This window comes from Homo sapiens, chromosome 12 (genome assembly GCF_000001405.40).
Source record: "Homo sapiens chromosome 12, GRCh38.p14 Primary Assembly".
Classification (NCBI taxonomy): Eukaryota; Metazoa; Chordata; class Mammalia; order Primates; family Hominidae; genus Homo; species Homo sapiens.
Window position 1 is genome coordinate 45,892,791 of NC_000012.12, and position 16,104 is coordinate 45,908,894.

Consider the following 16,104-nt stretch of genomic DNA (forward strand, 5'->3'; position numbering starts at 1 on the left):
TATTTTACATAAAATCATCTCTGCAGTTCTTCCATTCTGTATCTTTCATAAATAACAGAACTATAGTGAAAGGATTGATTGAAATTATAAACTAATAATGAAATTTAAGATATGTAAGTAATAGTTGGAAATGTGGTATTTAGCATAATTCCATGTTATCATACCATGTTTTCTTGGATGACCAGTGTCAGTACATTCTTAGGTAATATTACTTTACTCTTAGGTACCATTTAGAAATAATTTGTAGCAAAAATTGTAGACTTTTCTTCTTTGTTAAAATGTTCACATTATATTCAAAGATGAGAAGGCTATAACTTCGATGCTACGTTGAATTTGTCTTGATTGCATACTTACCCAATACAGTAACTTTAAAGATGGAACATCTGTTTGCTTTAAAATTGATAGATTGGAAAATAAAAGACTTGAAACTTTACCTTGATACTAAGCGCCCCTTTGCCTAGGCTGTCACAGAGCATAAACGTTAATGCTAGACCATTGGACCTTTAGTCACCCTGTAAACACGATTTTAAAATAACCAGCTTAAAGGGGTTGGCAGGGTGGTCATAGTTGTCAGTCTGTCTGCAGTATCACGTTAATTCTCTCTCTCTCTCTCTCTCTGATCAATTTAGGCAGCCAACTGTAGGGGGCACAAGCTCAACTCCTAGAGCACAAAAGGCCATTGTGAATCATCCCAGTGCTGCACTTATGGCTCTGAGGAGAGGATCAAGAAACCTTGTCTTTCGAGATTTTACAGTAAGCATGCCTTGAAACCCTTATCTGTAAAAGTCTGAGTCCTGTATGATTTAGATCTTTATTCTTTTTTTTCCTTTCTTTTTAAGGATGAAAAAGAGGGACCAATAACTAAACACATCCGACTAACAGCTGCCTTAATATTAAAAAATATTGGTAAATATTCAGAATGTGGTCGCAGGTGAGTAATATGTTTTCTGTAGCCAAAGTGAATTTAGTTTATTTTATTTTTACATATAAGTTAATAAAATTAGATAACTGTATTTTCTTCATTGTTTTTCTCATCAATTTTGCAAATACATCCAAAAGTTTATGCCTAGGTCAGGCCATGATGAGCTCTTAAAAGTCAAAAATAAATAGAAGTTAAAACAACCAAAAGGTGGTCTCTTAAGTTGTTTTATTAAGTTAATTTGTCTTACTGACCATATAATTTAGAACAAAAAGCAGCTGTACTAAAGAGGAAACTTAGGAGTTTATTGGGGAAAACAAAGGAATTTGATCATTTGAATCACGTGGAGTCCAAATGAAATTCAGTTTGACACCTGGCATTTTCATGTACCCATCAATGGCATAAATAATGTTAAGGTATGTGTATAATACTCTGAAGTTTTAAAACTTAACTTTCCAATGGATTTAAGCAAAAGAAAACCCAGGATTTTGTAGATCTACAGAAACTAGGAGGGATAACTCATTAATTCGTGAGAGAGCAAATATAGAATATTCTGTCAATACCTTGTCTTCCTTAGTTACTTTTCTAGAATTCCTCCTACATCTTCAATTGACCAGTCTTGGGCCGCCTCTCTGCGAAATTGTCCTCAGATGCATCTTGTGTTCCTGATAGTCACTTTCTATCTCAGGCCCTCCCTTTCACATAATATTAGTTCCATCTCCTTAATGTATTTTGAATCCATGTTAGTTCTTCCCTACACCACTATTTTACCTTGTCTTACGTCTTTTATGATATTTTTTTTGCAATGACCTTTAAACTGAATTTTCTAAGCATAAAAATAGTGGTATCAATTATAAAAAGAAAATGAATTTGACTATATTGTTTTAAGATTTCTCTAAGTGGAAGGTGAATAACATTTAAAGCTAAAGTTGAAAAGTATTTGCAATGACAAATGTTACTATATTTATTTAATCAAGTATAAATGAACAGGAAAATTTTTAACACTTGAGCCAAGTTTTTTTTAGAAAAAAAAGAAATATAAAGGTTTAGTAACCATATGAGAATACCAGTATCTTCATGATTTAGTTCATAACATTTCTTTTTACTTTTCTTACTTTATTTCCCTTCTAACCTCTTTTTTGTTTCATAGCCTACATTTCAGTGAAACTAAGCCACATGCAAGTTCCTAATCACATTGGGCTCTCTCAAGTCACACTTGGTACCTTTGTTCCAATGCTCATACTATTCTCCCTGCCTAGAATGCCCTCCTCCCTGCGTTGCCCACCTATTGAATATCTGCTTATCCTTCATGATTCAGTTCAGACATGAGTTTCTTTGTGTAGCTTTTCCTTTGCTCTATTCCCCTTCCCTACTGAGCTTGTTCTCCTCTATTTTTATAACATGTCTGTCTTAAAACTTTTAATCTCATTGTTTTGAAAATGTTTTTTTATGTGGCTTTTTCCCTTACAGAACTATGTGCAGAGACTTCCTCTGATTAATCTTTGTAGCTTGAACACTTAGCACAGTGCCCAACACATTATAACCTCTACCTCCTATTCATCCTTTAAGATTCAACTCAGTGGTTACTGCTTCCTTTCCTGATGTCTTCCTTACTACCTTAACCCTGACCTGGAGCACAGTACATATTCCCTAATGCCCCATGTGTTGCATGTTACCACCTTAGATGATGAGCTCTTTGAAGGTAGGGATTCAGTATTTTGATCTTTGTATCTTTAGTGCCTAGCATAGTGTTGGCAATATGATAGTCATTCAGTAAGTATTTGATTGATAGACAGGTGGTGGGAAATTCATTTTCTCCTAGAGTTCTGATCTGGAATTTTTTGAGACAGAGTCTCGCTCTATCGCCCAGGCTGGAGTGCAGTGGCACGATCTCGGCTCACTGCAACCTCTGCCTCCTGGGTTTGAGCGATTCTCCTGCCTCAGCCTCTCGAGTAGCTGGGATTATCGGCTCATGCCACTATGCCGAGCTAATTTTTGTATTTTTAGTAGCGACAGAGTTTCACCATGTTGGCCAGTTTGGTCTTGAACTCCTGACCTCGTGATCCACCTGCCTCGGCCTCCCAAAGTGCTGGGATTACAGGTGTGAGCCACCGCACCTGGCCAGTAATTCCATTTACAATAGCATCAAAAAGAGTAAAATACTTAGGAGTTGTCTTAACCAAAGAGAAGATTTGTAAACTGAAAACTACAAAATATTACTGAAAGAAATTAAAGAATATATAAACAACTGGAAAGATTTCTCATGTTCATGGATTGGAAGACTTAATTTAGGTGAGATGTCAGTACTACCAAAGTATTCTACAGATTCAGTGCAACCCCTGTCAACATCCCAATGATTTTTGAAAAAATAGAAAAATCCAGTTATGTGTGAGTGACACGAGGTGAGGGTTGCAGATGCAGTTTCCTGTTTTCATCGTATAGACAGGGCAGCTCTGCTGCGGAGATGGTCAATGTGCCTAAAACCCAAAGAACCTTGTGTAAGAAGTGTGGTAAGCATCAGCCTTACAAAAGTGACACAGTATGAGAAGGGCAAGGATTCCCTGTATGCCCAGGGAAAGAGGTGCTATGATTGGAAGCAGAGTGGCTGTGGTGGGCAGACAAAGTCAGTTTTCCAAAAGAAGGCTGATGCGGTTTGGCTGTGTCCCCACCCAGATCTCCTCTTGAATTCCCACATGTTGTGGGAGGGACCCGGCAGGAAGTAATTGAATCATGGGGGCACGTCTCTCCTGTGCTGTTCTCATTATTGTGAATAAGTCTCACGAGATCCGATGGTTTTAAAAAAGGGAGTGTGCCTGCAAAAGCTCTCTTGTTTGCCACCATGTGAGACGTACTTTTCACTTTCCACCATAATTGTGAGGCCTCCCCAGCCACGTGGAACTAAAAGTCCAATAAACCTCTTTCTTTTGTAAATTGCCCAGTCTTGGGTATGTCTTTATCAGCAGCGTGAAAACGGACTAATACAAAGGCTAAAACCACGATTATGCTAAGGGTGGAATGTGTTGAGCCTAACAGCAGATCAACAGGATGCTGGCCATTAAGAGATGCAAGCATTTTGAACTGGGAGGAGATAAAGAAGAGAAAGGGCCAAATGATCCAGTTCTAAATTTGGGGATGTTTTTCTTTTCATTTTGAAGATAAAACATTGAAGCTATAGAAAAAATATAGGAAAATAAATACAGTGATAATCTTACTCAAAAAAAGAAAAATTCGTACTAGAATTCATACGTAATCTCAAGAGACCCTGAATAGCAGAAACAATCTTGAGAAAGAACAATGTTGCAGGACTCCCACTTCTGATTTACTACAAAGCTAACATAATCAAAACAGCGTGGTACTGGCATAAAGACAGCCATAGAGACCAATGGAATAGAAGAGAGGGCCCAAAAAGTAAGTCCTCACATATTTGGTCAAATGATTTTCCATAAGTATGACAATTCTTCATTCAATGAGGAAAAGACAGTCTTTTCAACAAATGGCATTTGAAAAACTGGATATGTACATCAAAACAATGAAGTTGGACACTTACCCTGTACCATATATAAAACCGTAAGACTCTTAGAAGAAAACACAGGGCAAAAGCTTTATAATATTGGATTTGGCAGTGATTTCTTGGGATATGACACCAAAGACACAGACAATAAAAGGAAAACCAGACAAACTGTACTTCGTCAAAATTTGAAGCTTGTACATCAAAGGATACTATCAACAGAGTAAAAAGGCAACCCATAGAATTAGACAAAATAATTGCAAGTCACCTGTCTGAGAAGAAACTAATATTCAGAATATATAGAGAATGCCTAACTACTGTGTAAAACAGGGCAGTTCCTTAAAAAAACAAACAGAATTACCTGTTTCATTCAGCAGTCCCACTTCTGAGTATATTCACAAATGAATTGAAGGCAGGGAATTGAAAGATATGTTTACACCAATATTGATGGCTATTACTCATAAGAGACAAAAATTGGTGTGGAAGCAACCTAAGTGTCTATCATCGATGATAGACAAAATGTGGCATGTACATGCAATGGAATATTACTCAGTATTACAAAGGAAAAAACAATTTACTTATAGTAAAGTTCACGCTTTTTAGTGTACAGTTCTATGAGTTTTTGAGGTTTTTTTTTTTATCTTTGAGACGGGGTCTCACTCAGTTGCCCAGGGTGGGTTGCAGCGGAGCAATCATGGCTCACTGCAGTCTTGACCTCTCCAGGCTCAGGTGATCCTCCCATCTCAGTTTTTGTGTTTTTAGTAGAGACGAGGTCTCACCATGTTGTGCAGGGTTGTCTTGAACTTCTGGGCTCAAGCAATCCACCTGCCTCGGCCCCTCAAAGTGCTAGGATTACAGGCGTGAGCTACTGAGCCCAGCCTACAAAGGAAAAAAAATTCTGACATATGCTACATATGAATAAACTTTGAGAACATCATGCCAAGTGAAATTAGCATGACACAAAAGGACAAATATATGGTATGATTTCACTTATGAGATACCTAGAAGAGTCAAATGCATAGAGACAGAAAGTAGAACAGTGGTTACTGGGGCTGGGGGTAGTTCAGGAATGGAGAGTTACTGTTAAGTGGGTAGAGAGTTCCATTATGAGATGATGAAAAAGTTGTGGAGATGGATAGTGGTGATGGTTGTACAACAGTATGAATGTACTTAATGCCACTGAACTGTACACTTAAAAGTGGTTAAAATAGTACGTTTTATGTTATGTATGTTTTACCACAATGGAAAAAAACTAAAACACAACAAAGGAAGGATTTGGGGAAAATTGGAAGTGACTGCTAATGGGTATTGGGTTTCTTTTAAAGATGATGAAAATATTCTAGAATTGTGGTGATGGTTGCACAATTCCGTGAATATACTAAAAACGAGAGAATTTTTGTTTAAATGGGTGGATTGGGCCAGACGCGGTGGCTTATGCCTATAATCCCGGCACTTTGGGAGGCTGAGGCGGGCGGATCATCCGAGGTCAGGAGTTTGAGACCAGCCTGGCCAGCATGGCAAAACCCCATCTCTACTAAAAAATATAAAAATTAGCTGGGCATGGTGGCGCATGCCTGTAATCCCAGCTACTCAGGCTGAGGCAGGAGAATCGCTTGAACCCAGGAGGCGGATGTTGCAGTGAGCTGAGATCATGCCACTGTACTCCAGCCTGTGTGACAGAGCAAGATTGCATCTCAAATAAATAAATAGATTGTATAGTGTGTGAATTATACCTCAATGAAGGTGTTAGAAAAAATAAATTTTAAAAAATCAAGGCGGGGCGTGGTGGCTCATGCCTGTAATCCCAGTACTTTGGGAGGCTGAGGCAGGTGAATCACGAGGTCAAGATATTGAGATCATCCTGGCCAACATGGTGAAACCCCATCTCTACTAAAAATACAAAAATTAGCTGGGCGTGGTGGCGCGTACCTGTAGTCCCAGCTACTCAGGAGGCTGAGGCAGGAGAATCATTTGAACCCGTAAGGCGGAGGTTGCGGTGAGCCAAGATCACACCACTGCATTCCAGCCTGGCGAAAGAGCAAGACTCTGTCTCAAAAAAAAAAAAAAAAAAAAAAAAAAAGTAAGTGCTACAAAAGTTATAACCAGGCTGGGCGTGGTGGCTCACACCTGTAATCCCAGCACTTTGGGAGGCCAAGGCGGGCAGATCACGAGGTCAGGAGATCAAGACCATCCTGGCTAACACAGTGAAACCCCATCTCTAGTAAAATATACAAAAAAATTAGCTGGGCGTGGTGGCGGGCGCCTGTAGTCCCAGCTACTCAGGAGGCTGAGGCAGGAGAATGGCGTGAACACAGGAGGCGGAGCTTGCAGTGAACCGAGATCCCACCACTGCACTCCAGCCTGGGCGACAGAGCGAGATTCCATCTCAAAATATATATATATGTATATATTTGGTTATATATATATATATTTGGTTATATATATATATATGGTTATATATGGTTATATATATATGGTTATATATATATATGGTTATATATATATGGTTATATATATATGGTTTTATATATATATATATAACCAAATAGTTCCCTACTTTACCCCCCCCTCCCACCTCCAAGGGGGGAGCCTGCAACAATTTGAGCTAGTGCAATTGCTTTCATATTTCAAAATATGTCTATGTTACTATTTCTTAACTTATCTAATTTTATACATTTATTGACTTCCCTTTTAAGAAATTGGATAAACCTCTCTTCTTCCCACTTTACTTTTACCTCATCATATTATTGTTCCATCACAGTCGTTGATTAAATCTTAAATCAGATATTGTTGGATTGTTTGATGTTGAGCCAAGTGCTATACTATTATGTTTTTCTTTCTCTTTTTTATTTTTATTTTTTGAGACAGAGTCTCGCTCTGTCACCCAGACTGGAGTTCCGTGGCGTGATCTCGGCTCATTTCAACCTTTGCCTCCCAGGTTCAAGTGATTCTCCTGCCTCAGCCTCCTGAGTAGCTGGAACTACAGGCTCCCACTACTACGCCTGGCTAATTTTTTTATTTCTAGTGGAGATGGGGTTTCACCATGTGGGCCAGGCTGGTCCTCAATTCCTGACCTCAAGTGATCCACCCACCTTGGCCTCCCAATGGGCTGGGATTACAGGTGTGAGCCACCATACCCAGCTTTTTTGTCTCTGTATTAGGCCCATAAAAAGCATGAGTGCCATGCTTTTTGCTTGGCTTTTTACGGGCCTAATACTGATTGTACCATATATTTTAATCAGTATCTTTCAAGCCTGTCAATAAGCTGTCCACATACTGAAACACAGTTGTTAAACCTCTGTCAAATTTTCATTTTTAGAATATTTTTTTCCTTGCAAACTGCTCTTCTGCAGTCTAGACAGGTTGCTCTCTGGACCTGGTACACACCTCTTCTCAGGAATTACCTCCATGTTGAATCCCTTTTCGTTGAAACCCATTTATTTTCTTTTCTTGTTTTACTCTCTTCATGCAAAAGCATATCCTTCAATCATTTAAGACCCTACATGCCTAAAAATGTCTGTAATCTACCCTTACTCTTGATAGTTGTTGGCTGTACATAACATTCTAGATTGAAAAATCATTTTTCTTTAAAAACCTGAGGGCATTGCTTTGGTGTATTCTAGCACCAGCTTTGCTGTTGAGAAGACTAGTGACATTCTGGTTCCCATTTCTTTGTATGTGATCTGTTTTCCCCCCTCTAGAAACTGTTGTGATCTCTTTATTTCTGAATATTCTGAGGTTTCTTGATGATGATGTGTCTTCGGTGGGTGTTTTGTTGTTGTTTTCATTGAAGTCATTATTTCATTTTGGTGGGTCCTTTCAATCTGGAGATTTATATCCTTCAGTAATGGGAACTTTTCTGGTATGTTTCTTTTTCTTTTCTCTTTTAGCTTTCTGTTTTCTCTCTGTTTAATCTATTTTTTGGAAATTTCCTTAATTTTTTTTTTTTTTTTTTTTTTTTTTTTTTTTTTGAGACAGAGTCTCGCTCCGTTGCCCAGGCTGGAATGCAGTGGCACGATCTTGGCTCACTGCAAGCTCCACCTCCCAGGTTCACGCCATTCTCCTGCCTCATCCTCTGGAGTAGCTGGGACTACAGGCGCCCACCACCATGCCCCGCTAATATTTTGTATATTTAGTAGAGACAGGGTTTCACCTAGTTAGCCAGGATGGTCTCGATCTCCTGACCTCGTGATCCGCCCTCCTCAGCCTCCCAAAGTGCTGGGATTACAGGCATGAGCCACCACCCCCAGCCGGAAATTTCCTTAATTTTTAAGAGCTTGTTATTGGTTGCCAGTTGTTACTATTTTATAACATCCTGTTCTTAGTGGTGTCTTCTCATCTCTCTGAGGATATTAACACCTCTACTTTTGTAGTTTTTTCCCAATCTGTGTATGGTTACTCTTTCCTTGTAATTCCTCAAATTTCTGAGGATTTGGGGGTTTGCTTATCCTCCGCCCCCCAAGACAAGAGTCTTGCTCTGTTACCCAGGCTGGAGTTCAGTGGGGCCATCATGGCTCACTGCAGCCTCCAACCTCCTGGGCTCAAGTGATCCTCCCACCTTAGCCTCCTGAGTAATTGGGACCACAAGCATATGCCACCATGCCCAACAGTTCATTTTTTAATTTTCTGTAAGGTGGGGGGTGGGGGAGGGTGTCTCACTATATTGCCCAAGCTGGTCTTGAACTCCTCAACTCAAGTGATCCACCTGCCTCGGCCTCCCAAAGTGCTGGGATTACAGGCGTGAGCCACCACGCCTAGCAAAAAATAAATTTCTTTTACCCTTCGTACTGTTTTGAGGAGGGAATGGAAAGAAACTTGTTTAAACTTGTTTTCTTAGAAGCTGATTTGTATCCTAAATGGTTTTTACTAGTGTTGCTTAGAAATTATTTTTATTATCTGTTAAGGATATTAGAGTGACCCAATATTTATTCTTTGTTAAATCATCTCAAAAAACTAACATGTGAATTTAGAAGTTGAAAGAATATCATTTTATAAAAAAACAAATTAGGCATGTTTTGTTTTATATCAAAACAAAGTGAGTGCTTAATTTTTTAAAACCTCAAAAAATTAAACATTTATATCAAAAAGGAAATTATTAGTTACTTTAAAATCATCCTAGTGATTTCAGTTTATTCTTTCTAGTTTTATCCATGCAATATTCAAATAAAAGAATACTTTTTAACATGTGACTATCACTTTGAAAAATATGATTTTGTTAACTTTTTGAAACTAAAGTCTTTTTTCTTTCTTTGTTAAAATATTCATTGATTGTGGGGAAAAACTGATTGTACTTTGTAAAGTTATTTTTATTTTGTAAATTTTTTTTTTTTTTGAGATGGAGTCTCGCTCTGTTGCCCAGGCTGGAGTGTAGTGGTGCAGTCTCGGCTCACTGCAACCTCTGCCTCCTGGGTTCAAGCGATTCTCCTGCCTCAGCCTCCTGAGTAGCTGGGATTAGTAGCCTCCCAAGTAGCTCCTGCCACCACGCCCAGCTAATTTTTTGTATTTTTAGTAGAGATGGGGTTTCACCATGTTGGCCAGGCTGGTCTCGAACTCCTGACCTCGTGATCCGCCTGCCTCAGCCTCCCAAAGCGTTTTGTAAATTTTTAAATCAATTTTTGTACAACTAATTTTTCTTTTCCAGAAAGATCTTAGAAATTTCATACTTTATTTTAAAAGTTGTTAAATAAAATTTTAAAGAAAATCATAAAGATTTTATAAAACAGAAGTGTAAAGTTCAGTGAATTATCACAAACTGAACCACTCATATAACTATCTGTCCAAGTTAAGAAATAGAGCAATATCAGTTGAAATCTTTCATGTTCTCTCCAATCTTTACTCCATCCTCCTCTCTATAAGGGACCACTATCCTGATCTGTGACACCAGAGGTTCATTTTGCCTGATTTTGAACTTTCTATATGTGAAATCATACAATATTATTTTCAGCATTATATTTTTGAGATTGATTCATGTTGTTGCATGATAGTATTTTATTCATATTATTGTATTTTTTTCTCTGCTTTTGATGGGCAAATGGGTTATTTCCAATTTGGGGCTATTAAGAGTAATGCTGCTATAAACATTCTAAACCATATTCTGTTTTTTGGCCATATACGGAACATATTTCTGTTGAGTGTTTTCAAAGGATTGGTGACTCATAAGATGTTAAAAGTTTGCTACATGATGCCAACCAATTCCAAAATGATTTTATCAATTGACACTCTATAGAAATGTATGAGAGTCTCAGCTACTCCATGTACTTGCCAACATTTGGTATTGTAATTAAAATGTTTAATTTTATCCACTCTTTTGAGTGTGTGATGGTATGTATATATGGAAACTACATAAAACTGAAATGGCCCAAAAAACATGAAAAGATGCCCAACTGTTTATTCTTCAGTCTCATTTTTTGCTCATTTCTTTTCCTTTGCTTTACTATAGTAAAAGTGACTCCAGTCCCTACATTAAATTTTGATTTTGAATTTTTGCATCTTTTCCATAAACTTCTTTTCTACAGTGTTTTTTAATTCAAAATGTACGTGTCTTCATCTTCTCTTTTTTTCTCCTGTAGTTTCTTTTATTCGGAGTTATTTTAATGAAGGCACCAAGGTTCCTGGGTAATCTCATGCTGGCTGATATTTTTTTTTAACATTTAATATAAAATTTTTCACACATAGGCAAATTTGAAATGTTTGCAATGAAATTTTTTATACCTGCCACCTAGCTATTACCATGAATATTTTAGTATACTTGCTTTATCACATATCTGTCCATTTATCCATCCCACAGTTCTGGGTGATTTTTACCATTTTTCTCAGCCCCCAGCATCCCTTTTTTTTAGCTAGATGATGCTCACTTTTATAATCTCTCATTATATAGATAGCCACATCAATATTGTGATCTTTTGGGTAGAAAATTTAAGATTGATAAGTTTTTAGAAAACAGCTTTTATGGCTAATGGGGCATTTAGGATATAGTTAAGCTAGATGTGGCTTGGTTTCACTTAATGAAGACTAAGAAGCTTTAATTATACCTACAATATAATTTTAATTTCATGTCATCCCTTAAAAGCAACCATTTTGTTCCTCTCCAGCTGTTTTCTGACACCATTTTCTAAATTTTCTAGAAACATGAATGAAGATTGAAAAAGAATTTTGCTGTGCAGCCTTCCATATTTAGAAAGGTACTATGGAGAGGCTGGGCGCGGTGGCTCACGCCTGTAATCCCAGCACTTTGGGAGGCCAAGGCGGGTGGATCACAAGGTCAAGAGATCGAGACCGTCCTGGCCAACATGGTGAAACCCCGTCTCTACTAAAAATACAAAAATTAGCTGGGCGTGGTGGCACACGCCTGTTGTCCCAGCTACTTGGGAGGCTGAGGCAGGAGAATCACTTGAACCCGGGAGGTGGAGGTTGCAGTGAGCTAAGATTGCGCCATTACACTCCAGCCTGGCAATAGAGTGAGACTCCTTCTCAAAAAAAAAAAAAAAAAAAAAAAAAGGTACTATGCAGAAAAGGCAAACAGTAATAGTCAGCCTCAGTTTATCCTTCTAGTTGTTTCCCAGATGCTTCCCTCTCTTCCTGCAATACTATATTAACATTTACGGGGTGTGGAGCTATGTATTGTTTCTATTTTAGTTTTTAAACTTGCAAAATTCATGATAAAGAGTCATCGCTGTGACCTTGGAGACTGACAATCTTCTATATGTTTTTTTGCAGATTGTTAAAGAGACATGAAAATAACTTATCAGTGCTAGCCATTAGTAACATGGAAGCTTCCTCCACCCTTGCCAAATGCCTTTATGAACTTAATTTTACAGTTCAGAGTAAGGAACAAGAAAAAGACTCAGAAATGCTGCAGTGAAAAATAATTCCACTTACACAGTGGGGGACTCAAAGTCAGCCACATTTCACATACTGTTACTGAAGAAAGCACCAAGTCTTAATGGAACAAAGACCATAGAATGAATTATTTTATCTCCTCCCATGATGCTGAGAGGAAGCTTCGTATTCTGATCTCTGAGTGAATCCCTTTGTTCTCTGTTTAAAAAAATCTAAAAAGAAAAAGGAAAAAAAAAAAAGAACTGCTGTGGGATTGTCAACCAGCTTATCTGCAGGATGTTTCAGATCTGATAAATCCTGATGGAAACTGGTATGATCAGAATTCAGTACCATCCACATTGGAATATACATGGAATATTGTAAAACCTACATGAGCAGATGAAATAGAAGCATTAAATATTTTTATCTATATCCAAAAAGGAGCACATTTTTATATTTACAAAACCGTTTAAGCTGGTTTGAATAATTTAAAAAAGTTTCAGCACACCTATACCCCCGATCTCAGAGGGGGCCACCAATATCTAGCTATGGATCGTGTGTTTTGTTTAGAAATCAGTAGCTTGGTTTTCTTACTTGAGCCAATATATTTTCACTTATTTATTATCATAAAAATTTACCAGTCTGAATAGATCTTGTAAATATTTGTGAATAGAATGAATACCTTTCATGCCACTGCAGCCACTGGAAATACATTCTGTGGTGTCCTAGAAGCATTATTGGTAGGTTCTAAAGTTTTCTAGACTTTCCTGTCAATTGTAAGTAATTGTGATATATTCTATGCAGTGGATGAATGTTCTTTAAATTTGTGTAAATACTTCTGCAAAGGTACTGATGCTGTAAAGTCAAAACAGTTTTGTGGAACTGTGATTTTTTTTTCTTTTTTCTTTTTTTTTTTCTTTTTTTTTTTGTATTATACACCTTGTAGAACTCATTTTGCTGGCTGAAAGAGTATGGAATAATATATCTCATGTCATTTTTTAGAAGAAAAACTATTTGAAGGTATTTTTTGGTTTTCCTTAACATGTATCCACTGTAAACGTTTGTCGTGTACAAGCTCAGAGCTTGGACAGAATTTTTTGTATTTGTAAATTGGTTTAAATACATGGAATTTTATACAGGTTTTCTCCTGTGTTATATATGCATTATGTGCAGGTATGATATTTTCTTCACTACTTTTTCTATCTTAATATAGTGTGGAATTTTATTGTATTATTCTTCCATTCTTAATACTGTACCACATTCCTGCTCAGAAACTGCTCACTTCCTTAAATTGTCTTTTTTCCCCCAGCGTGAAATGTATCCATTTATAACTGCCTATTGCCTGTTCTATTAGCATCCAAAAATGTGGAAGGCCTCCCAACCACCATTTCTGCTGTGTCCTTAGGATGTGCAGTAAAAAATATAGACCTAACAGTTTATGTTATAGAATGGCTTTATTTACTTTGGTGACTGTTTATAGTTTTTAAATAAAAGACTGAACATTTTCTTGAGTCCTTCATTTCTGAGTATGCTTAAGACATCTTAAAAATATAGAGAGAATTCTAAATTCAGCTGAAGGCAAGGTATAACGGTCACCTACCTATTTGATTATATGTTGATTGATAACATATTAAATAGAGAACAAATAAGAGAGGTCCTTTACATGACAAATTTGCATGAAATAAGCAGATTAACCAAGTATTTATTTTTCATCTTGTTATAATGCAGAGCAAATGTAGAGAACAGCAAATGATTGATGCAGTTAAAGCTCAATATGCCTTTTTTTACTGGATACTGTACATTTGGCTAAAAGCTTTTATTGTTTGATGTTGTGTTTCTTGACTGTTTATTCAGAATCACAGTGTATCCAAATCTTCAGCTTGAATTTGGAGGCAGATTCTTAGAGTGAAAAAGCCTCAGTTTCCATATTAAAAATGTTTTAAATATTTTGATTGAATTAGTACCAATGTAAAATCTAGTTTCTTCCTGAAGGAGGATCCCTGGCGCTGTCCTGCCATGTCTCAAAGGAATGTTTGAGAAACTTCATCTAATATTAGTTATAAGGTTGTGGAATTTATGCTTGGCCCACCTTCCAAGACTGGCACTGCCCAACAGACACCGCTGAAATCATGTGGGTATCCCTAGGATGGCCTTCAGAGCCCTCAAACTTACAAGCACCTGGTAGTTGACATCATATGGGGAATTTTCTATTCACCGTACTTATCCAAAAATCTCTTTTAAAAAGTAAATTTGTGCAACAACGTTTATTTGAAAGATAATGTCTTCTCAAAATCAGAAACTGCAGTGGTAATTAAATTAATAGAAAAGAGAACAAACTGCAGGTTTAGAAAAATGGTTTTCATATTCACCATTCTTCCACCTCATTGAATTGCATGCTGTAGTTCTAGCTTTTCTGCTATAATATGTAAATATGACTGTAGCCTTTTAAGCTTCAGTCTCAGCAGAGAATTTCCTAAATGCGTTTGACCTAATGAAACTGATCATGGCTTCCCACTTAGGTTTTTCTTCTTATAGCTTTATAGAACTATATAATAATATGGACTTGCTGTGTAATGGAATTAAAGTGCTTTTGCACAATAAGTTCTGCAAAACCCTCTCATTCATGAAAAGGTGCTCCTTGCTAGACAGAAACTTGCTGATTTACAGTATTGTTATTTTTGTCTAAAGTTCTGTAAATACATGCTTTAATGTTATCTTTGAGAAATCTATGTAAATAATATAGTCTACAACATAGAGACTGTATAATTCTGTGTTATATATGTGCCTAGTGCTCTGTTGGCACTCAATAAATTTTAAGTAACAAAATTGATAATCATATAGCGAAGGCATATTTTTCTTCCAAGCTCAAGTCAGGATTGTGACTATATATTAATGAGACTCAGTAATCCAACCCACACCTGAGAACTCGTCTCATTACTTTATAGTCATGTCATGTATGTTTTTTTAACCATGAAATGACAATAAAATGATTTTTAAAATGAGAATGTTTTGGATAAGTGACTTCTGTCCTGATCTTAACCACTGCTGTTAAATACCAAACAGAGGAAACATGATGCAAAGCAGAAGCTGCTAAAGAGCAGAAGTGGAGCTATGGGGTTAACCACGTGGGACACCTGGCACTGTCACTGTTACCAAATAGTAAGTTAAATGAGAACAAAATCCAGTATCTATTAGGAAATTTTAGCCGATCACTTTCATACTGCTTGACTCTTCTCAGACTCATACAGCAGTCAGTCATACGACAACTACACTAGCCTTCTCCAGAGGCAACAAAACAAATGAAGACAGTACCACTGTCTAATTACATTACTACACTGGTATTTGTAACTCTTTCATTTCAATTATATAGCCTCATTTCCTATTGGTAAAAATTAAGTCCAGGATTGCCTTGTGTGTGGATAAGAAACACTAAGACACACTGGCATATACTTAAGTAGATCCATTTACTTTGATTAATAAGACTACATTTAAATATTAAAAGAAAAGGCTATTATTAAGTCAAGTCCTGGCTCCTGTGGATTTTAGTCTGAGATACAACCCACATTGTATACATTTATTTAAAACATAAACTGCCTTTAGAAAGTAACTTAATCAAAAAGTTAAATTATATGAAAAGCCTCATTCCCATCTGCTTCACCACCCGTGTCCCCCAACCAGATAACCACTGTTCACATTTCTTGAGTACATCTCTGGTGTTGATTACATACAAGTGAATTCAATATTTTCTCTTTTTTACACAAAAATATGTCATACCATAAATAATATGCCGTACTTTCTTGAAATTTTAATATTTTAAGTTTATTCCATATTGGTACATAGCTTTCTCATCCTTCTTACA

At 37.0% G+C, this 16,104-nt stretch overlaps 1 protein-coding gene across 2 annotated transcripts in view; it reads left to right on the forward strand.

Moving 5' to 3' along the window:
- Positions 1-15,247, forward strand: part of ARID2 (AT-rich interaction domain 2) — a 178,332-nt gene extending 163,085 nt beyond the window's left edge. Inside the window, exons 19-21 of one of the 2 annotated variants that reach the window (NM_152641.4) lie at positions 630-753; positions 840-931; positions 12,144-15,247. In NM_152641.4, coding sequence (NP_689854.2) covers positions 630-753; positions 840-931; positions 12,144-12,288 — 361 coding nt within the window. In that variant the 3' untranslated portion in view covers positions 12,289-15,247. Of the gene's footprint in view, positions 1-629; positions 754-839; positions 1,129-12,143 lie in introns of those variants that run through there. The other variant, NM_001347839.2, reaches the window with a different exon arrangement.